Source organism: Homo sapiens, chromosome 6 (assembly GCF_000001405.40).
Source record: "Homo sapiens chromosome 6, GRCh38.p14 Primary Assembly".
In the NCBI taxonomy this organism is placed as follows: domain Eukaryota; kingdom Metazoa; phylum Chordata; class Mammalia; order Primates; family Hominidae; genus Homo; species Homo sapiens.
This window is the reverse complement of record NC_000006.12, coordinates 40,911,495-40,938,790: the sequence shown is the minus strand read 5'-3', so window position 1 is coordinate 40,938,790 and position 27,296 is coordinate 40,911,495. Positions and strand designations below refer to the sequence as shown.

At 45.6% G+C, this 27,296-nt stretch overlaps 1 long non-coding RNA gene across 1 annotated transcript in view, besides 3 other annotated features; it reads left to right on the top strand.

Moving 5' to 3' along the window:
- The window catches only part of LOC101929555 (uncharacterized), a 144,395-nt gene that overhangs the window by 84,490 nt on the left and 32,609 nt on the right, over window positions 1-27,296 (top strand). The gene's annotated exons all lie outside the window — the stretch shown is intronic.
- Window positions 7,887-8,181: an enhancer, noted in NCBI's record as "tiled region #12741; K562 Activating DNase matched - State 8:EnhW". NCBI's record gives its function as "activates a minimal TATA promoter and a strong SV40 promoter by Sharpr-MPRA in K562 cells {active_cell/tissue: K562}" and the evidence as "EXISTENCE:reporter gene assay evidence [ECO:0000049][PMID:27701403]".
- Window positions 19,395-20,095: an enhancer, noted in NCBI's record as "H3K4me1 hESC enhancer chr6:40886435-40887135 (GRCh37/hg19 assembly coordinates)". NCBI's record gives its function as "activates a minimal SCP1, AML or CMV promoter by ChIP-STARR-seq in primed H9 embryonic stem cells {active_cell/tissue: H9 hESC(primed)}" and the evidence as "EXISTENCE:reporter gene assay evidence [ECO:0000049][PMID:30033119]".
- Window positions 20,096-20,798: an enhancer, noted in NCBI's record as "OCT4-NANOG-H3K4me1 hESC enhancer chr6:40885732-40886434 (GRCh37/hg19 assembly coordinates)". NCBI's record gives its function as "activates a minimal SCP1, AML or CMV promoter by ChIP-STARR-seq in primed H9 embryonic stem cells {active_cell/tissue: H9 hESC(primed)}" and the evidence as "EXISTENCE:reporter gene assay evidence [ECO:0000049][PMID:30033119]".

Here is a 27,296-nt window from a genome sequence, read left to right as displayed (position 1 = left end):
AACAATAACTTAATTGTACATTTTAAAATAACTTGTGTAAATGGATCGTTTGCAACTCAATGGAGAAATACTTGAGGGGATGGATAATCCATTCTCCATGATGTGCTTATTTCACATTGCATGCCTGTATGAAAACATCTCATGTATACCATAAATATATATACCTATTATATACCACAAAAATTAAAAATGAAAAACAATAACAAATGCTGTTCGAGTTAAAACCATTGAATCATGGAGCCCTGGTGCCTGTCTGTGGGTCTGTAGGCAATTCAGGATATGGGAAGAGGGGTGAGTGATTGCGTGTAGGTTGCAGATAAGGTCCCCCTTAGCATTCACCTCCAGCTCATCAGTCCAACCAGAACTCCCAGAAGCCTCAGGGAAGCTTAGGGCTGCAGGTGAGAGGCAGAGTGGTTTCTCATCTCAAAAATACCAGGATATGATACTCTAATTGTAGAGGTCATTCATTTATTCCACAGCTATATTCACTAACTATTTCCTGTGTGCAAGGTTAATGTGAACCTGGGCCCTCCTGGACAATGGGGGCCTCAGCAGTCTTAGAGGGGCAAGGAGGCTTGAGAAGGCCAACAGGAAGGAGCATCCTGTGTGGGAAGGATAAGCGGGCACTGGGCATTGAGAGCTTGAGACAGAATTAGCTCCTTTCCCTGGATTCAGAGTTCCCTCGCTTGAAAAACAAGGAGGTTGAATGAGGTGGCCTGTAAGCTCTGACATTTTTAACAGTCTGTGATTCTTGTACTGCTGAAGGTAGTCTTGGCCTTAGAGCTGCCCTGATGTGGCTACTCCAGGAGGGGAGGGGTAGGCACCTGCTCCCTGAGAAAGGGGCACCACATGGGTGGCTCTAGGGCCCATGGGCAGAGTTGCAAATCCATCCTTTCCCAAGGGAACCTTCCCATTGGTTAGTCAGCAAACATTTACTCTCCACCTTCTGTGATCTTGCCAGCACTGTTCAAGCTCTGTGAGGGACATGAAGACACGACACCAAGTGCCTGCCCTCAAGAATCTGTTTAAGTTGAGGACACAACCACGTGCACCTGAAAGAACAGCAGGAAATTCCAATGGGGCAGATGGCCATGTGCAGGAGAAGCTGTGGGCTTGCATGAGTGATTTATCTGGGAAACATTGTAAATCCTCATGTTTTTGAATGCTAAAATGTTTGTGCAGCTTCCTGGCTTTTCCCTGAAATGCATTCCTGTCTAGAACTACATTTCTGAAGCACAGTTGCACAGTACAGTCCCCACTCATGTATTTACACATAGAGTAAATGAACATTGAACACTTTCCATGTGCCAGGCACTGAGGAGCCAATATGAACCAAACAGAGGGGGAGCCTACAGTCAAATCAAAAAGGAGGCCAGCATTGCCAGTACCACAAGGGGACTGCCTTTACACCATTACCAAAGTCTTCTATTTCCCTTGGGAAAAAAATTGGTCATTTTCAGGAGGAAAAACATTTTCTGAAATTACTTCCTGACAACCACTGCATATGTGACAGATGAGCAGAGTAAAACAGAACCGAGTTTAAATTTGGAGGCTGAATGCTCTGTAGGGTTCTCTCTCTAGCTAAGTCACTTTAAGCATCAGCCTCACAGCAAGACACTAAAATCTGCCTCAGCAAAATTGCAAATTGCTACATATAGGGGGCTGTGGGGTAAGGGGAAACGACTCAAGCTGTAACTATTCTACCCACTCATGCTGAGACTCGCCGTATCAAGGGGGATTATCTGAACAGGGAGGCCTAGCCAGGAAGGCTTCTTTATTTGTTCATTCAATCATCAAGTATGTGGGTCCTGACTTGAAGGGCACACTGATTAGTCATGGTGATCAGTGTGCAGTGAGTGTTTAGTCTTTGGGAAAGTTCACTGTTGTCACCTCTTCTGGCTTCAAGCAATGGAAATGGATTTGCTAAGGGGAGGGACCTCTTGAAGGCAGGGAGAATGTGAAAGTAGAAATCTGGGAAGTCAGAACTAGCAAGTCTTGCAGGGAGAGCAAGTTGAGGGACTTGGCTAATGCAGATAGGCTGTCTTGGGATGTAAGGAGCTAAGACGGTGGGAAGCAGGGAGCAGAAGTTGGTTGGTGGAGGGCCTTCTGTTTGAATGTGGATTTTATTCTGTGGGTCGTAGGGAGCCATTGAATGTTCCTGAACCATATGGGGCAAAAAGAACAAAGAGGTGTTTGAGAACAATTTATTCCCCAAACACAGGGTGGGAAGAAGTGTGTGGAAGCAGATGAGTAGATTTTTGGCTTTTGTGGTAATTCTGGGGAGAGCTATTGCAGTTTGGGAACAGGACTGAAAGGTGGAACCTGGGAGAGTCTGCATCTCGGTAAAGGGACAGGAGGAGGTGGCTGGAGAAAGGAGAGGGTTCACCTCAGGAGCACAGCAGACACTGGTCTCCAGGCCTAGAATGGAAGGCAATTAGGCTAGGGCCACCCTGTCCTGACTCAGCATCATGCAATCACCTCCCTCATTAGAACACCCAACCCAAGTGGTAGGTCTGTGATTGTGTGTTTGTGCACGAATTAATTCATCCTCATCAAAATACGGAATCCAAGTGCTCAGCTACCCCCACGCTTCAGAGTTTGGAGAACAGGAGTGAACCACAGGCCAAATTTCCGAAACTTCTACAGTGTTGCAGGAAGAAAGATGCTGAGATCATTTGTTGGAGTGAATCATGGCTGTGTCTTCAGCAGCTGCCCTGTGCAGGAAGGCTGGAAATCAGAGGTATATTTTTGAGACTGCTTTATAACAACCTGCGAGAAGCTCCTTCTTTGTTTTATGCTTCCCTGAAGAAAAGCCTCTGAACCATGACAGCTTCCCAAACAGCAGCCTCAGCTGCAAATCAAGACTGCCTTGCACCTGCAGGGCGCAGGTGGCCAGAGGCATCTCTGGATGAGCATCAGTCTTTCTCTACCACACCTTGGGGTCTCCAAGTTAGCAGCAGCCACCTGTCATTGTGTCAGCTTTGGATACAAAGGCAAAACACAGCCATCTCGGTGAAGCAGGTCCCTGCTCATGCCCTCTGCTACTTGCCTGCTCACCCAGTTCCACCCAGTTCAGGCACCTTCTCCTCCATCCCAGGTCCCAGAAGTCACCTCCTCCCCTAACTCCTTGATGACTAGACTCACTTGGCATTTAGCCTATGCCATCCTGTTTCTTCTCTTATGGTTTCTTTTTACTTTTTTTTATGTTTAAGACTTTTCTTAGCCTCCCTTCTAAATTCATCCTTTGAAGGGAAGGACTGTGTCTTATACTTAGGATGACATATAACCTTTTATCTAAGCCAAGACACTTCCAAGCGTGGTACTGAGGCTGCTGATGCCTGCTCATATTTTCTTACCCTCACTGCTCTTATACCCTCTGAGGTGCTCACTGCCAGCCTGGGGGCTTTCTTTGTTCACTGGAGCAGGCTAGAAAAGCCAGAGTTAACACCGTGGGGAGCAGCGCATAGCCAGTGAGGGACAGGAGTTGGTGGACGCACACTCTCCTCCTCCATGGGGATGGTGATGCAGTGCTCTACAGTCTCCTGGAGGCCCCCATAGGGCTGAGCCCCAGCTGCCCACGGTGGCCACTGGGATTTGCTCCTCCTTTCCTTAACCGCCAACCTTTACTTCCCCAATAAATAACTTACATTCAAATCTTTGTCTCAGGGAAAGTCCTGGGCTAATAGGGAGGTCTGGTGACCCTATATAAAGGTCTCTTGGTCTGACATTGCCTCAGAGGGTGCCAGCCAATGGCACTCACCCACATTTAGCCAAATGAATGTGTGAATGGATAAAAATGCTCTATTGTGCCCCAGCTAGGTCATGAGAACCAGTTTCTTAAGGCACAGAAAGGAATTAAGCATTTCCCTTGTCCTTCTTGCTCCCACTCTCCCAGGTAGCCATTTCATGGCTTCTCTCCTCTCCTCCAACCTCTGACACCTCCATCCCTGTCCTTTCAGTTCATGACCTCACCTCCTATTTCACCGTGACAGACACCATTGAGGGGAGAGAGCTTCCACATGCTCCCAGCTCACGCACCCGCCCACCTGTGTCTGTGCTGCAGCACTGTCTGCAAGGCCCCCTGCACACACCGTGAAGGCCACTCACCATCCTTGGGATCCCTGGCCCTGCTGTTCCCCATTCCCTCTCCTCCTCCAGGGGTTTGCTTATTTGTTACTTGCTAGGGAGGCCTTCCTCAGTTAAGTTGCACACCCTCCTCCTGATCATCCCCTATCCCCTGCCTAATTTTTCTCCGTAGCACTCCTAACCACCTGACATCTTATACATTGGGCTTATTATCTTTATTATCTGTCTCCCCTAAAATGTAAACTCCATGTGGGCAAAAGTCTTTGTTTTATTTATCGCATTAAAAACAAAGCTCATGAGAAGAAGAAAGGCAGGCAGGCTGGCAGCTGTTTAAAGTGAGAGAATTAAAAAAAATTTAGAATGTACGATCAGAAATGGACCATAGAGATTAACCAAATCCAACTCTCTCATTTATACATGAGAAAATGGAGAAGCAGAGGCTCTCTGGCAGCTGGGTGAAGCGCTGGGACTGGAACCCCTCAGTCTCAGATGCCCAGTGTGGGGTTAATTCCACGGCTCATCATTACAGGCCTGGAGTCCTAAATCTCTAGTTCTGCCATGCTTGGGGGGTTTGCTACTCTCTGTGCGGCTATGTGTTAGTCACTGTTTATTTTCTGTAATGTGGCATTAGCTCTCTCGTTAGAACTGAAGTCCTCAACATCATGAACTCGAGCTTCTTCCTCTGAAATGCCTAGTGCATAACACAGTGCTTAACATCATGTGAGCTGGAAACCCTGGAAGGAACCCCTGCCCTCCTCTAAACCCATGACAGTTATAATAGCTGTTGTTTACTGAGCATCTTCTAAGGGCCAGGGGCTTAATGTACCTTAATGCATCACTCCTGAAAAGTAGGCACCTGGAAAGTGCCCTGGAAAGTAGCACCTGAAAGGTGCCCTGGAAAGTAGGCACCGTGTTCCCTATTTTATGGATGAGAAATTGAGGCTTGGAGAGTTGAGCAACCTGCTTTAAGGTTGACCACAGGACAGTAAGGGCCAAGGCAGGGATTTATTCCCACCACATTGTGGAGAGGGAATCATGGGTGGGGAGTGGAGGAAGGATGTCAGATCAAAGAGCATACGTTTGCCACCTGCTTATTCCCTGTTGCCTGGAAGTCCTTATAAAGGAACAAGGATGTTCTTTGAACAAAGCAAGCTCAAGAGATCAAGAAGTGGGATACATTCTTCCCTGAGAGAGAGGTGTGATTGGAGTAGAGGAGGGAGAAGAGAGTACTAGGTACTCAAACAAGGCAGGGGCCCGGAGGTGCAAAGGCTTTGGGGATGGGTGAGCAGAAGCACTAAAGACAAATTCTGCCCAAGTCACAATGGGGCCAACAGGTACAGGCCAAGGAGCCAACAAATATTGAAGGATCAGTTGGTTGATTACCCCCGGCATATCCCAGTTCAGCCTCAGAAACAAGTCCCAAGGCGCCGACTGTCTGCCTGGTTTTGAATTTTAGCGATTACAATGTTCATGCTGGAACCAAATATAGATCCACAATGAGTTGGAGCATTTTGTTTGCAAGCAACTAGCACAGCCCTTAGGATAGCCATAAACAAGCTTAGATATGCTTTGCGGGCTCTGAATCTCTCAATGCCTCTGCTGGATGTGTTGATTGATATGCCAAGATTCACAAGTGAGCTGCCTCTTCCGGACAAGATAAATGAACAACTTTGCAGGCAGCTCAGCAGGGGGAGGCCTGACTTGGTGGCTGCCAAGCCTGAATGGGTCCTGTCCTGTAAGAGCCATGCTTCCGCCACACAAACAGGGTGAGATGCATAGGGGATGGGTGAAATCTAGTCCAAACCCCTGGTATCACGGAAGGGAAACCGAGCCTCAGGGGTGAGAGACTTGCCCAGGGAAATGGGTCTGATTAGAGGCAGGGGTGGAACCAGAAACCCATCTGTGCCCTTTTCAGGAACATTGCTGGGCCTGGCGTCACTGCCTTTTGTGGGCAAAATGAACATGTGTGTGACTTGAGTCCTGAAAGCTCAACACCAAGGGCATGGTCTGGACATGCTGTGTCATTATGAAAGGTGGGACCCTTGGGCAAAGGCTTTAGCGAGAACACCTAAAAGAGGTTTCCATTTTTCTGAGCTGGAAGAACTTAAAAGGAAAACATGAGTCAAGTCTCATGACTTCCAGTCCTGCAGCTTCCAGGACTCATCCAGGGAAGAAAGCAGCTAGTATCTTCATTCTGGAACAGAGCACTACACTATCTCCTGGAAGAAAAGGAATAGATAACACGTGAAGAGAAAAGATAGTTTCTGAAAATGAGATGCTGGTGAGTTCCTCCCTCTGAGCTGCTGCCTTGGTTCAGGTCCTCAGCACTCCTTTCCCAATCTCCTCTTAAAACAATTTAAAAACATATATAAAAATAAAATACAATAAAATACAGAGAAAAACATAACATGTGCCTACCACCACAATTAGCAAATATTTACTTTCTGTCATTTATACCTCTATATCTATTTATGTATATGAAGCCTTATAGATACAGTTGAAGCCTCTTTCCACCTCCCTGCCACCCCATTCCTGTCCCTCCCCACCATGACTAATATCCTGAAATTAGTTTGTATAATTCCCAGCCACGTTACAGAATTCCCATCATACTGACTGTACTTTCTGCAACTTGATTTTTCATGTGACATTATGTTGTCAAGCTGCAGCCATGTTGATACACATAGATCTGGTTTATTCTTTTAATTTAATTATTTTTAACTTTATGCCCCCATTGAAGGCCATTGTATTAGTTTGCTAGGGCTTCTATAACAAAGTGCCACAGACTGGGTGGCTTAAACAACAGAAATTTATTTCCTCTTGATGCCAGAGTCTAGAAGTCCAAGATCAAGGTGTTGCCAGGGTTGGTTTCTTCTGAGGCCTTTCTCTGTGGCTCATGGATGGCTATCTTCTCCCTGTGCCTACCTGTGTCCTAATCTTTTCTTCTTATAGGGGCACCAGGCATATTGGATTAGGGCTCATCCCAATGAATTCATGTCAACTTAACCACCTCTTTAAAGACTCTATCTCCAAATATAGTCACACTCTGAGGTTCTAGGGGTTAGGATTTTAACATATGAATTTTGGGGGGACACCATTCAGCCCATAACAGCCAGTTAGGTGTGCTCTGTCTCTTTCTCATTCTCTTTTGCTGTAACAGGCAAGGCTGTAATGAACATCCTCGTATATACTCCTGTGAGCACATGGGACTGATATGGTGACTTGGAATCCTGGATGCAATGATGTGCACACTGCGACTTCATTAGATGTTGACAAGTTGCTTTCCAAAAGAAGCCTATAATTTGTACTCTTATTATCAGTGTGTGAGTAGTTCAGGAATGCTCAGTATTATTATACTTTAAATTTTGCCCATCAGATGGCTGTGAAATGACAATATGTTGTAGTGTTCATTTTAATTTCCCTGATTGCCAACAAGGTCTTCACCTTTATATATATTTAGTGGCTATTTGTGTTTTCCATTCTACCAATTGTCTGTTCATATCTTTAGTCTGCTTTTCTATTCTGCTTTCTTTCTTTCTCTTTTTTTTAAATTGATCTGCATGAAACACTTGTATGTTCTAGATATCACTCCTCAGTTGAGTGTAGCAACCTCTTCTCTGGTCTCCTTGCTTTCCAGTGTCGATTCCACTTGCCGGTTTTCCTCCTTTAAGGATCTTCATTCTCTTCTCAGAGACCACATTATAAAATTCAGACTCAATATGGTCTTCCAGGCCCTGACAGTCTGGCTAGAACCTCACTTTTCCCTCACCACTCTCCCCACAGGGGACCCCACAGGTCCCAACCAGCTGGGACCAGCCCCATTTCCCAGAATGTACATGGTGCTTATGCTTCTGGGTCTTGGCATGCGGCTCCTGCTTCCTGGAAGGCCTGGCTCCTCCCTTGTTGACTGCAGAAATAAGACACGCCCTTCCAACTGCAGTTACTTTGTCAGCTCTTGAGTAAGGCCCCTCAGTCCTGGGGCAGACATGAGAGTTACCATTACACCATAACCATGGCGACTGCCACCCACTCCTGGGGTTGGTTGTTTCACTCTATTTCCTTGGCCAAAACATGAGTCCCACCAAAAGCAAGCCCTTCCCCTCCTCACTTATTCATCTCATGTTTTCACTATTTGTACATGGTAAGTCTTCCATGTTTGCGAAATTTTATTTTTTAAATCCTGGCATGTTATTTAAAAGATTACAATAGTTAATGAGTAAGCAGTGGTAATAGAATTGTGTAGCTTATTCTTCTTGTCTGAAATTCACTTATTATTTCTAAGGTCATAAACCTGGGCTCACAAACAAACTTCGCAGGGTCTATAATGAGAGAGATGTAAACTAGCAGCTGCACAAGGGCAAAGAGGGAGGAGATTAGGAGAAAGCCATGATAAGTAAGCACTGAGAAGTGGTTGCTATAAATGCTAACATATGCTGGGATGTAATAATAGAAAAGTAGTGTCTAGAATGAGACAATGGTTCTATTCTTCTCTCATTAGATCACTATTGGAGTGTTGTGTTCTGAGCATCATACTCCAAGAGGGAGGAACACAGACCAACTAGAACACCTTCAGGAGAGAGGGCAACCAGGAGAGGTAGGGGATTAGATTCCACAACACCCAAAGGATGACTGACAGACATCTCTAGGGCTGTGTATCCTGGAGGCTAGAAGAAATACAGGGGGGATAATACGGTCTTCAAATATGCAAGGGGTGTCTTTTGGAACAAGGAATAGAATTGTCTTGTATCATTCCTAGTACAATCAGGACTGATGGAAGGAATTTATAAAGAGAGAGATTTCTGCCTAACAGAGTAAGACATTTTAAACATCTAGAGCATTAGAAGATGATTCGGCTGCTTTGAGCAGTAAGGATGTCTCTATTAGGGGAAGTACTTGTGTAGTGGCTAGATGAACAGTGGGCAAGGGATGATGTCCAAGGGGTTCTGGGATCAAACGGAGATGGGCGCGGTGGCTCACGCCTGTAATCCCAGCACTTTGGGAGGCCAAGGCGGGCGGATCACGAGGTCAGGAGATCAAGACCATCCTGGCTAACATGATGAAACCCCATCTCTACTAAAAAATTGCAACAAATTAGCTGGCGTGGTGGCACGTGCTGGAGGCTGAGGTAGGAGAATCGCTTGATCCTGGGAAGCAGAGGTTGCAGTGAGCTGAGATAGCACCACTGCACTCCAGCCTGGGTGACAGAACGAGACTCTGTCTCAAAAAAAAAAAAAAAAAAAAGAGATGGAGTTTGGAATAGATGACCTTTAAGGTCTTTTCCAAAGTTGAGATTTCACAAGTTTATGACTTCGAGTCAGATGGATCTAACTGGGGACCAAAGTCTAAATGTATCTTTGAGTCTTATAAGTGAAATTTACTCTTTGATGGGTGGTACCCCTAGCTGATGGTCTTTCACTGCTTTCCCCAGGCCCTGATGCCATTTTAAGCAATTCCATATTTATATAGATGTTCCAGCAAATATGCTGTGCTTCCTGCCTCCAGTGATCTCATCCCCCATTCTCTTGGTTCTTTTCTCGCCTACTCATGTGGCCAGACGCGTGATCAATGGTCCTCAAACTTTAATGTGCACTAGAAAAATCTGGTGGGCTTGTTAAAAACAGATTCCTGGGCTCTAGGGGTGGAACATATCCTCTAGGTTTATGTCATGCAGCAGCATACTGCCTCACTGGGGCCCAAGTAACTAGTCCAGGGATTGGCATGTGAGTAAATCAGAGCTGATGAGATGTCATGAGACACTTTAGGGCAAATAGCAGTGTTCTTTTCTATTGATCAAGATACCGTAAGGGCTGAAGCTGTTGTCAGAAGGAGACTAGAAGCAAAGTGAGGAAGATCAACATGTAGGAAGAAGGAGCTGAGAGGTTAGGAAAACCTCATTCTAATAATATAACTTGAGCTCTGAATCCAAAAATACCTGAAGCCAGACTATTCCTGGGATTTGTGGTTATCTGAACTAATTAATTTGGTCTTTTGCTTAAGCCAATTTGAATTGGGTTTTCTGTCACCTGAAAGCTCCTAACTGATACAGAACTAAACATCATTCTTTGTCTATAGATTTGGTTGGGTTGGGCTGGTAGAAGAATTGTGCATAACTTGTAAAACATGTGCCTCTGCAAAGGAGCATGGCTTCTATCCCAGCCCTAGTGAATCAGCATCTATTTGTCATGGGTTGAGGATCCAGCAGGTGCCAAAGCATTTGGGCAGATGCTACAAGTGATCAACAGAAATAGGAGATCTTGGTCCTTCCCTTTGAGGAGTTCATACTCTACCAGATGCAAGACCAAATTAGGAAGACAAGATAATATGGGGCAAGTGTCAAGTGAGTGATGAGGGTTGTAGAAACTTGGAACGGTCATTGTGGCCTGGGGTGGTCAAGGAAAGCTTCGTGGACAAGAGGACTTGAGCAGGGCCCTAAAGAGGTGACTAAAAGACAGGAAAGCAGCTTTATCAAAAGCTGGAACCCCATCTCCAAGCACCTTATATAAACTGTGAGCAGTATGTACACCATAGAGTGAAAATGAAGAATTAAATAAAATTTCATGTAATTATACCACATATTATGCTTTAGATGATATAATTATACAGACAGATGTGTCTGGGCAGAAAGATGAAGAAAACCTAAGTGTCTAAGAAGTAAAGACCTTTGGGGTTATGAAAACACAAACCCTGTATGGTTACAGTGGCATAAAATGTTTAATTGGATAAATTACATGCTTGGAAAGTTGTCAGGTCATATGAGTTTCTGTGATTCTTCAGGTTAATTCCTCTGTTAATTCCTGAATGGGGCTTAACTCTTCCAACACTGATTGATCTTCATAGCTTTTCTCTTGCTTTCCTGGGAAAACTGGGGTAGAGTTAACCCTGAACCATGCTCTGTGCTCAATTCTGTTTTTCGAATGAGGTTTGCAAGGATCCCATCCATTAGGCCTGCTCTCCTGCCTCCATAACCTGGGAACCTCCACTTCCTAGGGCGAAGAACCCTTGGGTGGTACCTAAAACTGGTCTTTTCCAGCCCTTTGCCCAGTGACTTGCAATCTTGGTGCCAACTGGTTTGGTTCTCATTCTGAATGGAACACTTGCAGACCCTTGCTTTACTTGTTTCTGCTTTACCTAGACAATGACTTCAAAAGATCCTTGGAGAAAGGGTCATACTGCTTTTCCTATGAAACTATTGTCTGGAACCCTTTTCTAGTCACCCAGTGCTTTGTACAGAGTAGGCACTCAATACGAAGTTTGCTAAATATATGGCTATGTCAATTTAATTCTGCTATTAGAGCTTGGAAATTCATCTTATTCCTGGCTGATGAGAATTACTCTTGGAGTCTGGATCATAGTGAAACAGAGCTTTACCCTTCCCCCATGTCCCATTTTCAGCTCCAGGTGGGCACCTAGAAGCCCCCGCTCCCTTGGAATCTCCCTCTTCAGTCACTTTCCCCAGGCTCATATTTCATTCATGGCTGCTCCTTGAATGTGCACTAGCTAGTCCTTTTTCCCTGGGTCATCGTCATAGTCTTCAGAGTGGAGTTCCTGAAAGGCACTCTTGCTCATGTGCCATATGTCATTAGACTAAAAGATGCCATCCCCATCAGCTGAGGGTAGGCAGGGGCACAGAGATAATGGGTCCAGATATTCAGATCCTTGGAAAATAACTGCAAATCCATTAAAAGGGTGTTTTATGGTGACTCCCTCTGGCAAATGTCTGCCCCTGCCGCAGCCTATCTCTGATGCCCGAATTTTCTCTTTTGGGGTTAAAGCACTGTTTCATGTTAGACTGAAGACTCTTTTCACCCATCACATTAAACTATGATCACGTATGATCATCTTTATGCAAATACATTTGTATGGGCTTTCAGGTGTACAGATGATGAGAGGGAGGAGGGACGCAGAAGAAGCAGCAGTAATTGGGATACACTGATGGAGTGGAGCATTCCAAAGAGCCAGGGTCAGGCTAGAGGCAGAGGGTGCCTAGAGGTCATGGGGTAGGGGGAGGTGTGGCCAGGGAGCATGTGAAGGGGCATTCTCAGTGTCAGTCCTGCATTTGGAGTGAGGGGAGTAACTGAGCCATGGGTCCTAGGTCAACAAGCCTCACGCATGCTTTTCTTCACTAGCTCAACACAATTTACCAAGTGGGTAATATTTTGGGTGGATCATTTATTGGCTAAACTGTGGCACTTTTTAGGATGAAAGAGGGTGTTATTAATTTCTACGCTGGGACAACAGGCAAACTTGGATGTACAGTCACCTTAGTAACATCTGCAAGGCTTTGTGCAAAATCTGCTCTATGCCAGACACCTGCAAATGAGAGGCAGAACAATCAAAGCTAATACTTAGCACTTTTTAATGCACCAGGCACTGTACTAAGTGCTTTTTTGTGACTCATTTAATCCTTTCTGTAGTTACTGTTAATAAAATAACTGATAAAATTATTTATGTAACTAGTATAATATAAAAAATAATCCTATTACACAGATGCAAACACTTGTTCAGCCCCCATGGCTGGGCAGAGGTGGAGCCAGAACTCCAGAGCAGGTTGCCTGCTCCCAAGCCAGGCTCTTTGATACCAAGAGAAGAGATGCAGTGCCAAAAGTGTGCCAAAGAAGAAGGCAAACCTCCAGCTGCAGGAAACAGTGGGGTCTTCTTGGCAATGGAGGCATTTAGCTTGCTCTGTGAAGGAGATAGAAGGAGAAGAGCATTCTGGTGGGGAAAAAAAGGTGGGATCAAAGGCATAGAAGCAGGAAAAACATAGGCATGTTTGGAAATGGAAAGGATTGGGTTTTGGCCAGAGCATTTTAGAATTAATAATAGGTAACTGTTCTCAAGGGCTTACTTACTAGGGATTGTGTCTTCTGATTGCCACAGCAACCTTGTGAGGTTGCAACTATTTTGCTCCCAACTTACAGATGAGAGCCTGAAGCTTAGAGAGTTTAAATAATTGGCTGCAGGTCGATCAGCTGGGAAGAGGTGGGACTGGGAAGTTTGTCCTGGTAGAGTGACTCCAGAGGGCACACTCTTAATCTTTACATCACCACACCTGGGGTGGGTGACACAGGATACTGGAGAAAGATTCTAACTGGATTGAGAAGGGCTTAACTTATGAATACAGGGTAAGGAAGTAAGGGAGGAAAGGGTAAAGGGCCATCTGTTGACGCTCTGTGCTGTTTGAGGAGAATTGGGGAAGTTCATGTTCATGGGGCTGTGTTAGTTTCTAGTTTGTTGGAGGATGGAGTATTTATTGTTTGTGGGTGTCCTGCTTCCAAATCTAACTCAAGAGCTCTAGCAATTTTTCATAAGGCCTACTGTAGGGCTTTAATTTTCTCTTTATACAAACAAATGAGATTCTCTAAGCAAGGGACTCAAGGACATTAGAATATTAAGTAACTTAGTTGACTCCTTCAAGAGGGTCAGGAAGGGAGATGAATGTGTCTCATTACGGACTTTAAAGTGGCTAGGAATCTACTGTCACCCACTTCTATTAGAGATTCTGGTTTCCGTAAAGTCCCCTAAAGAGAAGATAGAAAAGGTAAAGGGAAAAATATCCTTGATGTCTTTTGAATCAAATGGGAAGGACTTCCCTCCTGATGCTGCAATTCTTCGACATTTCCCCAGTCAAAGAGAGGTTGTGAGTCAGTGTTCAAAAGAGTCAGCAATTAAAAGCCTCACTGTCCGCTCCCTCTGATGGATGTGAGTTCCTATTTCAGCAAACGCTGGCTCCTCCTGAGGTTGGAACTGCTACCAAAAACCAGGTTCTATCTTCTTCCCATCCCTGGGGTGCGATAGAATGCTGTTTTGACATTTGCTGTCACTTTCCTTGGGCACCATGCCTGTGAGGCCGGACGGTATTCACCTGGCCCAAATGATTAGGATTCTCAGAAGGGTTAGCAGTATCTCAGATCTAATAGCACATGATTACAAGCAATTACATCTTTTCTATAGAAATCAACACTTGAATTAAAAATACCACCTATTCACTAACATTCATGCTAGAGCTGTGAGCAAGAATTAGAGAAATACAAATTCTAAGTGCAACTGATAGCTTGGCACCATTCCAAATATGATCAATTGCTGTTCAATTTTATTCTGGTTTTCTATTCTGCTTTAAAGAGAACATAACCTCTCATTTATTTATTCCACAGATAGTTAATAAATGCCTCCTGTGTCAGGGACTAGCTTTCTGGTGGGGATTGGTGGTGAAAAGGCAGAAGCATCTCTTCCCTCATGGAGCCTGCAGTCCCTGGGAGGAAGAGGAGGCATGAAGTAGACAGCCACACAAGCAGCAATTAAAATTGCGATAAAGTCCACAAAGAGAAGCTCCATGCTGAAGGCAACCAAACCTTCCAGCTTGCAGGCATGGCCTGAGTAAACATGCCTACTACCTAAGTTTTTTTTTCTATAAAACTTCAGGTTTTATGCCATTGTATCTGAAAGGCCATTTCTTGTGCTATTATAACTCTCAGAGGTTGCAGCAAATCTTTTCACTGGGTTGACTTATTTTCCCCAAATGTATGATAAATTCCAGCCTGATTCCTGGAGCATTCAGGAGATGTTTTGCGATGAACCCAGAGAGACTGAGCTAGAGAACCCTCTTTTCCCAACCTGCTGCTTAAGCAGCTGTGAACGGCAGTGAGCCCATCAACAGCTGCTGGAACCACTTCCTCCCAGAGGTTGTAGCTGCCATGAACTCAGTTAGAAAAGGCTATTTTCCTTGCATATCTTTGCTATAAATTGAACCTAATTAGGCAAAGAGAAGGATGTTCTCCTCTCCAACATTAAAAAGATGGCACATGAGGTAATGTAGGGTGTTTCTCACCTTGCCCAGGAACTTCAGTTTCCTGAGTCCCAGGTCATGGCTGTGTTGCTACCCTCCCATCCCAGGTTCTGAGCCAGCCCAAGAGCATATCCAAGGACAGGTATTAGAATCCTGCTACTTCTAAGCTGTGTAATTTTCCACCTCTGAACCAGGGTCTGACTGAATGCTGTGGCATGCTCTCTCAATAGAGGCTCACCAAAAAATAGGGACCAAAATGCTTCTAGGGCTTGTGTGGCCAGGACCCCAACAAGTGTGGAGACAAAGCAAGGAGGCCCTGCCTCTAGGGGAGGGTGGCAGGGACTCAGCTCAGCAGCTGTGGTTCCCAGGGAGACCTGGCCTACAGGAGGCGGGGCGGATGCTGGAAGGAGCCCTCAGCTGGAAGCTTGGTGTCTGGTGATACTGGGGAATGCAGTTGCCGCAGTGTGACACAGTGACATGGTAGTCTCAGGCTCCCCAGCCTTCCCCACCTCACAGATTCTGAGGGTGGTTGGCAGTGTCGGCTGAGGCTGCTGCTGACATTTCAGCCTGGCCAGGTTGATCTGGGAAATAGGGTGGACCCAGATCTGGCATGTATGTTTTGAGGGGCACCTGTGAATCCAGTTTTGGGGCTTTGTGGGAGACACTGGCAGAGGAAAAAAGGCCTTGCCACAGGTTCTCTAGGTCTGTGGATTCTTCCTCAGAAAGCACGAATGCTCAATGGTTCCTATGTCTCCACATCTGAGCACCAGCCCCAATGTCATTCTGTCTCTCTCCTTCCCCGGTACCTCTGCCTGCACACCACTCTCCATCTACTCAGATGGTGTGGTAAGCAGAATTCCATGCTGTTCCCATCATAGCTGCCCCTGACATTAGTCCTGTGACTATATTACATGACATGGCAAATAGGAGTTTGCAGGTGTAATGTAGGTTACCAATTGGTTGATTTTCAGAATGTGAGATCACCTGGGTGGTTCTAACCCAATTCCATGAGCCCTTCTAAATCAGTGTTTTCTCCAGCTGGTCACAGAAGGGGCTTTAGGAAGCTGTGAAGCCCAAGAAAGATTTGAGGTGCCACCACTGGCTTTGGAGATGAGGGGGCCACATGGAAAGGACGAGGAGGGGCCCTCAGATACTGAAGCAACACCTGCCTGGCAGGTGGCATAAAAAATGGGTATCTCAATCCTACAACTGCAAGGAACTGAATTCTGCCAACAGCTTGTATGATCTTGGAGGTGGATTCTTCCCCAGAGCCTGCAGGGAAGATTCCAGGTCAGCCAACACCTCGATTTCTGCCTTGTGAGATCCTAAGCAGAGAACCCAGCTAAGTCCTCCTGGACTTCTGAGCTACAGAAACCATGAAGTAATAAATGGGTGTTGTTTTAAGTTACTAAGTTTGTGGTCATTTGGTATGCAGCATAGAAAACAAATACAGATGGCCTCCTGCTTTGCTGCCAGTCATCCCTTTTGGGGATGTGAGAACAGCTCACAAACAGGAATCCAAGCCCTAGAGGTGTCTTCCTAAACCAAACTCTGATCTGACATCCACAGGTAACTCATTTACTGCGCAGAAGGCCTCAGGTCTTAGCAAGATGTCCAAGGCAGTTTGTGGCTCCAAGATATCTCCACCCCAACATAAAATGCATTCTGGGGATGATGCCGACATTAAAGATGTATCACCCTGGATTAAGTATAGGCATTATCAGTCTTTAAGCATTCACAGTTCAACACACAGAGCTAATTTTCTATCACTATATTCTCCAAAAAAGTAGTTTATCAGCTTCTTAATTCCTTTCCATCTCAGGAATGGAAAATGAAAGAGAGAGTTTTCAGAGGAGACTAATGGAGATCTAGGTCTCAGGACTCCAGAGCTGCGGGGAACCCTGAAGGTCATGTGGTTCAGTGTTCTAATGGCTGGCCTCCTGGGTTGGTGATTGCTCCAATCTCTCCTGAAGTAAATCCAGCAACAGTAGATTCACTGCCTATCAGCTGATGTCACCCGTGCCATCTTTGCACACTTGGATAGACATATCCTCCTTGTGCTGAGTTGATTTCTCTCCCTGTAGCTTCCCCACATTCTATAACACTACCCCTTGAGACCTCACAGACTCTTGTCCTTCACATTCATTCACTCAACAAACTTGTAGCAAATATGTGTTATATGCTGGGCAAGGTGTGGGGTTTTTAGAGAGTAATAAGACTCAGGGATGGCACCAGTAGCAAAAATGGAGCCCCAGTGTTTGAGGAGGGCAGCTAGCCCTCCCCACATCCTCTCTTCCCTAATGGGACCATCCTGGAACATTCAGAGTCTTTACTGGACATTTTGGAGTCCTTTCAAGGAGGAACTCACTGTGGTGGTTCTTTTCAAGAACACCCTGTCCTGGTCAGAAGCTCCCCCTTCCTCCCTCTGCAGGGCTCTGAGAACAGAAAAGGGTCCTCCAAGGGGCTCTGCTCAGCACAGAACAGTGGGCTTCTTGCTCCTCATGCTAGATGCACTGTCATTTTCCATGCAGCAAAGACTGTGGACATACCACAGGCAGCCACAAAACCATTGCTGTGCCTCGGTTTCCTCAACTGTGTGATGCTTGAAGAGGAAATGAGTTAACACATGTGGAGTGGGCAGTATAGTGCCTGACATGAGTAAATGTTCGATAAATGTCAGTATTACTACTGTTGTTTTATCGTTATTATCACCCTACTAGCCATACCTTTGAAGCTGATGGAAAATAAAACCCTTACGTTTTCCTTTGATGTTCACATTTTTCTTCTCTGTCTCATACTGGGTAGAAGTGGAGAGTTTGCTTCTGACCCTAAGGAATTTATCTTATTAAAACTGGTTCCTCATCTATCTGCTGAGATAATAGAAACAGTACCCATTATTGAGTACTACATGTGTGTCACACATGTCACCTTGAATCTTTACAACAACCTTGAGAGGTAGATGCTATTATCTTCATTTTACAGACTAGGCAACTGGGGCTTCAAGAGATGTAAGTGGCCTAAGGCCTCATTGCTAGTAAATACCAGAGCCCAGAATGCATATCCAGGTTGGTTGTTTCTGCCCAAGTCCATTCTTGTCATCAGTGTATGTCCCTTGCTCGTTATCTGCAAGTCACTCACAAATGGTGGGTCCAGAAAGCCTTGTGTACCCATGTCCAGGCCATGGCTGAGAGTTATGAAGCCCCAAAAAGCTCCAGATACAACCTGGTAAGGACAAGCCTGGCCAAGCTGTGCAGAGGGCCTTGCGGGATGGGAATCATTGAGTGCACAGAAGCTGCGGAACTGAAAGAGGAGCTCAGACTTGCAGGGACTCTGAAGCCAGACTCCCTGGGGGCAGGACTACCACTTGCCCACTGTGTAATCTCTGGGTCTGTTTGTTTGGCTGTAAAATGGAGAAGAAAATAATAGTATCACTTTATTGGCTGATTGTGAGGATTAAATGAGATGCATTTTATAAAGTTTTTAGTGCAGAGCCCAGTCAATATTAGCCATTGTTATTACTAGTAATATTATTAGCTTCCAAGCAGGTGAGTGACTGCTGCTAAGGCATGCACTGGCAGCCCAGGGGAAGATGCAGTCTGGGAGCAGAACACCCCTCTCCCCTTTCCCTGCCAGGTTTCCATTGCCCGCTCAGACCCAGGCTCCAGCTCCAACCTGCGCATACGCACCTGAGAAATGCCACGTGCGTTGCCAAGAAACCGCCTTCCCCATCTATTTTAAAACCTTGATGAGCTTTCTGTTTAATATTTTAAAAGGTTATGTTCTAAAGAGGGTTATGGTTAAGTAAATTACGGCACATCAACCTGATGGGATATTAAACAGCCATTAAAGTGATAATTATGAAGATTGTGTAGGAACATGGAAAATGCTTATGGATTAATATGAGGTGAAAAAAATGGGATTAAAAAATTGGATTACACAATAATTGCCACTAGCCAACACCACATGCCTATGAGCAAACATTCTTTCCCTATGAGGGAAAGAATGGCGTCCTTTAACTTCTTTTATTGTTGTTCTATTGTTTTTATAATAAACAAGTAAATAATGGTTGGTATCATTGAAATCATGATTTTATAAATCAAAAACTGAAGAACTCTATTATATGGCCTGCAAAAGCAGACACTGTGCTTAAAAGAACTTCCCAGGCCATGGGTAATGGGTCATTTGCTGCTGTATTTACATTTCATGTTAATAACTGGTAGGGAATGAAGGAAGATTTCGTTTTTCAAGTAGAGCAGATAATTATCCTCCAACCCCCCTAGTTACTGATGGTTTTAAGAAGGGGGATGCACTCTCAGAATAAAGGTGCTTGAATCTAATATTTCTTTTGGCTTCTGTGCTGGGAGGGAGGCAGGAGTGTGAATTAGGGACAGAGACTTAGGTGGGGGCTTCATGTTTTCCTTCCCTCACGCCTGAAGGATAGAAGCTGACACAGGAGCAGGGACGTGGGCTCCCACACACCCAGGAGAAGAGAGACCTGAAGGGCCTTGGGCAGCACGAGGCTGAGTGCTGGATGCAAACTAAAGCATGCAGGTACAGAAGAGGGTTGAAGTTTCTCTACTGACCTCACAGGGGGAAAGGAGTTTGGAACCACCGTTTTTCTTCCTTCCTTTCATTCCCTTCCATCGCCTGCCCTCTCCCTTCTTTCCATTCTACTTTTTTTCTCTCCTCCTTGTTGAAATGGGAGGAGAGCATACAGACAGGCAGGCTGTGGGGCTCTGACCCCATGGCAGTGTCTAGGGGTGAATGTTTACAGCTGAAGCCCCAGTGGGCATGTGTTACAGGGTACTCTTTTAGTTTAGCCATCCGTAGGCAGCTTGTGGTAGTCAGCTCAATTAGACCCCTGCCTTATCACAAGGACAGAGGAATTTCTGTATCCCAGGGTTCTTGCCTTGGTGTACTGGAAGAATCAGATCTCACGTGGGCTTGGAGAAGGAGCACAAGGTTTTACTAAGTGGAAGTAGCTCTCAGCAGATGGGGGAGCCGGAAAGGAGATGGTTTTCCTCTGGAGTCGTCCACTGGCTGGCCGGACTCTTCTCCGATCGCCCTGGCCAAACTCTGCGTCCTTCTGCCGGTCAGTGGCCTGCTGGTGTGCCGGCGTCTGTCATGTGCTCTTCCACCGATGTGCTCCCCTTGACATCCTCTCGATGTCCAGACACTTGTGTCTTCTTCTGCCGAGGTGTTCCTCTCGAAGTCTAGCCACTTGTGTGTGTGCTCACTAGGGTCTCGTGGTTTTTATAGGCACAGGATGGGGGCGTGGCGGGCCAGGGTGGTCTTGGAAAATGCAACATTTGGGCGCCAAGGTAGGAGTGTCTGTCCTCACCTAGGTCCATGGGCACAGGACCAGGGGTGGAGCCCTCGCCAGGGACCTGCCGTTCTCTACCCAGCACTTCCCTGCCCCCTTCTGTATCTGTCATTTAATAGCAGTTTATTGGGCTCCTACTCTGTGCAGACACTATGATCATCACCCAATTTAGAGAGACAAAAAGACAGTTTCTGCCCTCAAGAAGTCTAATCTGCAAGACAAATCTGAAAACAAACAATCCTGGCAGGTCTCAATATAAATAATTCAGTGTGACAAAGAAAGTAATTAATCAGCTCAGAGCAGTCAGCAGAGATTCCCCAGTTGGTATCCCAAGTTGAATAGGAAGGGGAGGAGAGGAGGGTTGGGTTGGGGGCCAAGGTGGGGAGGAGGGAATAGCATGCTCAAAGGCATGGAGGAGTGGGAGGACAGGGCTGAAACCTCTTTGGACCTGTGGGCCATTTATCCTGGCTTCTGTGTCCAACAGGGAGATCAAGGGATTGCATGTCCACCTGACATTATTCTCATAGGTCTGGTGCAACTTAACCCCACAACTATACTTAGGACCCTGTTATAGCTCTGGTATCCAGGAATTTATCAAAACCATTGTGAATCAATTGATTTTTTCCTAGAATCTGTGGATGCTAGCGTTGGGAGAAGCTTCAAGGAGTAGCTAGCCCCCTAATCATGCTAACCACCCAGGGAGCAGTTGGAAATGGAAATTAGCCTCAGTTCAGGGTATGTGGGCACTATTGATTGGGTTCATTGCCCTCATTTCAGAGCTAAGGAAGCTATAGCCCAGAAAGGGGAAGTCCGTTATTCATTCAAAGTCACTGAACAAATTACTAGCTTCTACTCAGTTCTTCTGGCTCCAAACCCAGTACTCTTTGCAGCACATAAGGTCTCTTTTTCCAAAAGAGGGTGATCTAGCCTCTTTCCATGCCCATGAACCAGGAGCACGGTCCCTCTTTGCTCCATTCTTACCTTTCCTCAAATTCAAGGGTGCACAGCCCTTCTTAATACTGTAACATCTAGGCCTGGTGGGGTGGCTCATGCCTGTAATCCCAGCATTTTGGGAGGACAAGGCGGGTGGATCATGAGGTCAAGAGATCAAGACCATCCTGGCCAACATGGTAAAACCCTGTCTCTACTAAAAATACAAAAATTGGTTGGGCATGGTGGCACATGCCCATAGTCCCAGCTACTTAGGGGGCTGAGGCAGGAGAATCTCTTGAACCAGGGAGGTGGAGGTTGTAGTGAGCTGAGATTGGGCCACTACACTCCAGCCTGGCAACAAAGTGAGACTCCGTCTCAAAAAAACAAAACAAAACAAAACAAAACAAAAAACCAAATACTGTAACATGTAGCTAACAAGCCCTCCTCCCCACTCATGACCTTCATAGTTGTATCACTCCATGACTTTCCTCTTTCTAGGCTGCCTGGTTAGGACAATGCCTGATCCCCTCCTTCTGCTTGCAGGGAAATGCCTCTGGGCCTCAAGGTCATGTGAACCATCCCTTCTCCACCTCCTGCAGCTCCCTTCTCTCCACTGAGAAAATGCATCTAAGTAAGGCATTCTGGCTAGAGTAAGGAGAAGTGGCAAATTGGGAAGGAATCCAGGGCTCCAGCTCTTTTCCATAAATCAGCTCAGAAGTTCCCCAGAGCAAATCCTTCTTGACTCTGGTCTCATCTTCTTTATCTGGCAATGGCAGGCACTAGGAGAGTCTGAACTACATGACCTCTAGCCCCTCCAGACGTGGGGGCCGATGGGACTCATTTTCTGTGAGTCTGCAAGTAAAGGGACGATGGGGACCAGCTACCGTAGATGAAACCTGCCGTTCTCAGTCTTGACCCACATGCCTGGGAACTGGGGCATGATGGAGACCAGAACTTGAATGTCATGACAGAAGCTGGGAAAAGAGGCAAATAAACCAACATGGACTGCAAAGAGCTTGTGGGCCATTTGCCACTTGTTTTTCTGTTTTTCCACCTATCAGTCTGTACACTTGCTTTGGCATTTATGTGGTTTCAGAAGGCTATTATCTTGTCAACATTGTTCTACAGCATTGACATTATCTCTTAATTACACAATTACTTTGTTATGTACTGTAGATCTAGTAATAAAACATTTGAAGTGTTCAAGCACAGACAAGAATTTTTAAAATATGATTTGAGTCAAACCATCTTGTAAAAACCACTAATAAATGTCATAACCAGAGGAGACCTCTGTTCATTCCCCCACTGAGAGGAAGAAGAGCTAAGGCCCAGGGAGAAGGGACCTGCTGCTGGTCACACGGATAATTACTAGAATGAGTTTTGCAGACATGAGAGCTCACTGCAGATCATACAGCAACTGAGAGCAGAGTTGGGACTAAAGCTCAGGCCTGACGATTCCTGGGTTACTGCATTTTTTCTTTTTCATAAATAGGTTATACCCTTTTCTCCACCATGTCACCCTGAAGGTCTGTTTAGGTCACACAGTTAACCCTGAGTTGGGGAGCCAATCCCCAAAGCACTGGATTACTCTAAGGGTCAGGTCCCACTTCTCCTAGATGCTTAGTGGGTTAAGGAACATGATAAAGCCCCACTGGGCTAAATCTGTCCTCCATATTAAAGAATTTTGTCTCAAGAAGCTCCCATTTATTAAGAAGCAAATGGCCAGTTGGCACATGAAACTATTTGTGCTGTTGGCAATGACTAGTTTATTAGCCAGGAAATTCAGCCTGAGTTTATGGCACACAGGACTGGTGATGATGGTGGCTGAGGGAGCAGGAGGGAGAAGATACACAAAGTGGATGACCTGGGAAAGTCAGGCTGACTTGCAGTACAGATGGGGAATTTTGGAGCTGGAAGCATCCTGAGAATAGTCTGAAGGACTCCCCAAAGGGACAGGATCTACCCTTTGATGAAATTCACTCGTTTTCCATTGCTTGTGATCCAAGTCTAAACTGAGCAGGGCTGGCACTTGTCATAAGTCCCCTGCAGTGACTATGGAGAGCCCTGCAGATCTGTTACTTTCTATCTCTGAGCTTGGAGACATCCTTAGAATTCTTAACTAAACTTCCACAGTTTCCTCAGAAGAGGAAACTTATTTAATATCTGTTGTGTATTGAATTGTGTCTCTCAAAAGATATGTTGAAGTCCCAAATCCCTGGTACCTGTATGTATGACCTTATTTGGAAATAGTCTTTGCCAATGTAATCATGTGAAGATGAGGTCATACTGCATTAGGGTGGGCCCTATATCTAATAACTGGCATCCTTATAAGAAGAGGGACATTTTGACACACAAGGAGATTTCCATGTGATGACACAGGTAGAGTTTGCAGTGATGTCTCTATAAGCTCAGGAATACCAGGATCTAGAAAGAAGCAAGAAAGGATCTTTCCTTAGGGTCTTCAGAGAGAGCATGGCCCTGATGGCACCTTGATTTTAGACTTTGTGCCTCCAGAACTATGAGAGAATTAGTTTCTGTTGTTCTAAGCCACCCAGTGTGGTATGTTGCTATAGCAGCCTGGGAGGTGAATGTACCATCTCTGGAAATTGTCTCTCTTGCCTCTGTGTTTCCCATCTCCCTTTCTCATGCTCTTGTGGTGTCATCTCTCCCTGTCCCTGACCTCCTCCTCCTATTCCCCACCTGAGTCCTTCTTGCCCATCAGGTGCAGCCTAAATGGCTCTCTCTATGATGTCTTTCATGATCCTGTCCAATATGCCTTTGCCCTTTTCTGGCCTGCTGCAGTGTTCTCAATGCTTGTATCTCTATCTAAACTCCCACAGCAGAGGGGGGGTCCTAAGAAGAGGAAGGTGAGAGAGAATGCAGACAGAGACATCTCTGTGGGCTTCAGCATTCTGCCTTTGTTCAACCCAGCAGTACCTGGGAGTGGGCGGTGGGCAGTGGTGGGAGGACCCATCACTCCTTCAAAGCATGAAGCAGTTTCTTCAGATAAAGGTCCTAAAATTTCACAATAGTGTTTTAAGAGCACAGGTTGTCTAGCTTCTTCTTTGCCTCAGTTCAAGGTGTTTCTTTTTTTAATTAATTTACTTTTTTTGAGACGGAGTCTCACTCTGTTGCCCAGGCTGGAGTGCAGTGGCACAATCTTGGCTCACCAGAACCTCTACCTCCCAGGTTCAAGCGATTCTCCTGCCTTAGCCTCCTGAGCAGCTGGGACTACAGGCACGTGCCACCACACCTGGCTAATTTTTGTATTTTTAGTAGAGACGGGGTTTCACTATATTGGCCAGGCTGGTCTCAAACTCCTGACCTCATGATCTGCCCACCTTGGCTTCCCAAAGTGCAGGGATTACAGGCGTGAACCACCGCACCCAGCCTAGTTCAAGGTGTTTCTAAGCAAACCAATAATCAAGTGCAGCTGGGTCTACCTCTGAGTCTAGTAGTTCCTGTTGTTTGGCATTTTTCAGATGGACTCGGTCAGGAGAAGAGAACCACTCTACAGCTGGGAATCTCAGATCAAAGCTTCCCAACCTCAAAGTCCATCCAGTGATGATTTGCTCTGTATATCCTCACGCAAACAGGGAGTTGTGGGGAGCTCAGGGAGATGCATGTGGGTGTATACCCCCGACACCATGACCTCTGCTCTGGCCATCTTATTATCTCATACTGCTCAGAGCATACTGTGCCTTCTCTCAAGCCCCAGACCACACAAGCTGTTCTCTCTGTCTGGAATGTTCTTCTTCACCAAGCACAATTTTACATCTTCCTTAAGTCTCCCTTCAAACAATGCCTTCTATAGACCACATTCTCGGGGCCCCTTAGACTAAACCAATCACCCTCTCCTCTGTGCTCTGGGGCTCTGTGTGTCCACCTCTGCGGTTGCACTCACCACATTGTGGCATGGGGTCTTACAGTCTTGGGGACCATGCCATGGCCCTTCCACAGAACTGAGACAGGGCTCAGAATGGGGAGAGGGTTAGGTACATCTGTGTTGAATAAATTCATGCATGCATCTGTCACAATTTGCAGGGCGTTTTCATAGAGCAGATTTTAATTCATTTATAAAGCAGATTGTATTTATTTATATAATAGGTGCAAAATCCAAAAGGTAGGACAGATGTATTGTGCCAAGCCTATGGTCCATCTCCATCCTCTAACCACCCAGTTCCCCTCTCTGAAATCAGTATCTGAATCCTATTTTGTATGCATCCTTCCGGAGGGTCCCTACTAACATAAAGGTACATGTATTTCTTATATCCCTTTTGCACAAATTATAGCATCTTGCTTTTTTACATTTTACTTTTTAATATGCCTTGTAGATCCTTCAATATCAGCCCATTGAGAGTTGCCTTATTTTTATTTTTATTTTTTTGTTTCATTAGCTGCATAGTTTTATTCCACTATAAGGGTGCTTCATGATTAGCCAGTCTTCTAAGGCTGTTTCTAATTCTTTGGTAATTCTTTGCTGGCATGGATAACCTTGTGCATTTATCAACAGTGCTTATTTTTTTTTTTTTTTTTTGATTTGGAGTCTTGCTTTGTCACTCAGGCTGGAGTGCAGTGGTGTGATCTCGGCTTACTGCAACCTCTGCCTCCCGGGTTCAAGTGATTCTCCTGCCTCGGCCTCCTGAGTAGGTGGGACTACAGGTGCTCACCACCACGCCTGGCTAATTTTTTGTATTTTTAGTAGAGACAGGGTTTCACCGTGTTGGCCAGGATGGTCTTGATCTCTTGACCTCGTGATCCACCAGCCTCGGCCTCCCAAAGTTCTGGGATTACTGGCGGGAGCCACCATACCCGGCCAACAGTGCTTAATTTTAAGAAATTATTTTCAAATGGTAGACTTTCAGGCTTCAGTAAGGTAGGCAGTGTGACTTTCCTGGCACTGTTCTCATAACTGCTAATTGGTTTATTCAACACTTGTTTCAATCCCTCTCTAGCGTGCTGAGACTGAAGAGCTGGCAAATATGTTTCCCAGGCATCTTTTGCAGGTAGATTCAGGGTGTGGCCTTAGGATCCACCAAGCAGCTGTAGTCAGGTAAGATTTGGATTTGGATCTAAGTCACTGAGCAGAGAGGTGGAGTGTGTGGACATTTACTTGGCCAGTGGGTGTCACTGCAGGAGTGCTAGCTCTGTTGCTAACAGCTGTTGGTGGCAGATGTCAGATACCGCAGCTTCCTGGTTGCAGGGGAGGCCGCAGCTCCTTAGGCGGCCCGATTCTGTGCTGTAATTTTGGGAGCCAATCCTGGAAGTTCAGTTTAATGCCTAGCATCTCAAACTGTTGTCCACAGATCAGGAGTAGAATCCCAGGCACCAGCCCACTCCTAAAGAATCAGCTACACCCCCAGGTGATTCACACACCCAGTCAAGGTTGAGAAGTACTGGCCTAGACTATACTGGAGCTCTGCCAAGGCTCTAATTAGAATCACCTGGGAAGCTTTGACCACTGCAGGTGCCAAGGCCACACCCCAGATTAAGTCATAATCTCTAAGGGTGGTGCCTGGGCATCAGCATTTTTAAAACTTCCCAGGTGATTCCAGTATGTAGCCAAGGTTGCGACCCATTGGCCTGGAGTAATAGCTCTGAATCTTGGTTATACACTAGAATTACTTGGACCTTTAAAAAAAATACTACAAATTCTGATTTAATTGGCTTGAACAAAGACATGAGCATTTTATTTTTGTAAGCTCTCTTGGCAATTCTAATGTAAAGCAAGGGTTGAGAACTATTCGTCTAGATTTGTTTCTTCAGCCTTCTTCACTGTTTTTACCTCTTAATAAAGACCCTTGTGTTTAAATCCACTAGAGTGAATTCTGTGGTCTGTAATTAAGAACCTTTGCATCATATGAGAAGTCACCTGTTTGAGCTGCACTGGAACTTGGGCTGGCTTATGTTGGCTTTAGTTACCTTGGAACAAATAATATAATTTAATTTAAAAGGGCTTTTGAGAAAACCCATTGAGAAGAATCAATCAGGAAACCACTTTCTGATGAACTGACTAAGAAGGATGGGTTAGAAAGGAGGCAGGCAGGGCCAGAAACACAATGAGCCATGTCTGAAGATCAAGGAGGGTGGGGGTGGAGGGCTGCAGAACTTTGGTGAAAGGGAAGAGTGTTACCTAACTAGACCCGTGAGTATAAAAACAAGGGCCCATCCAGC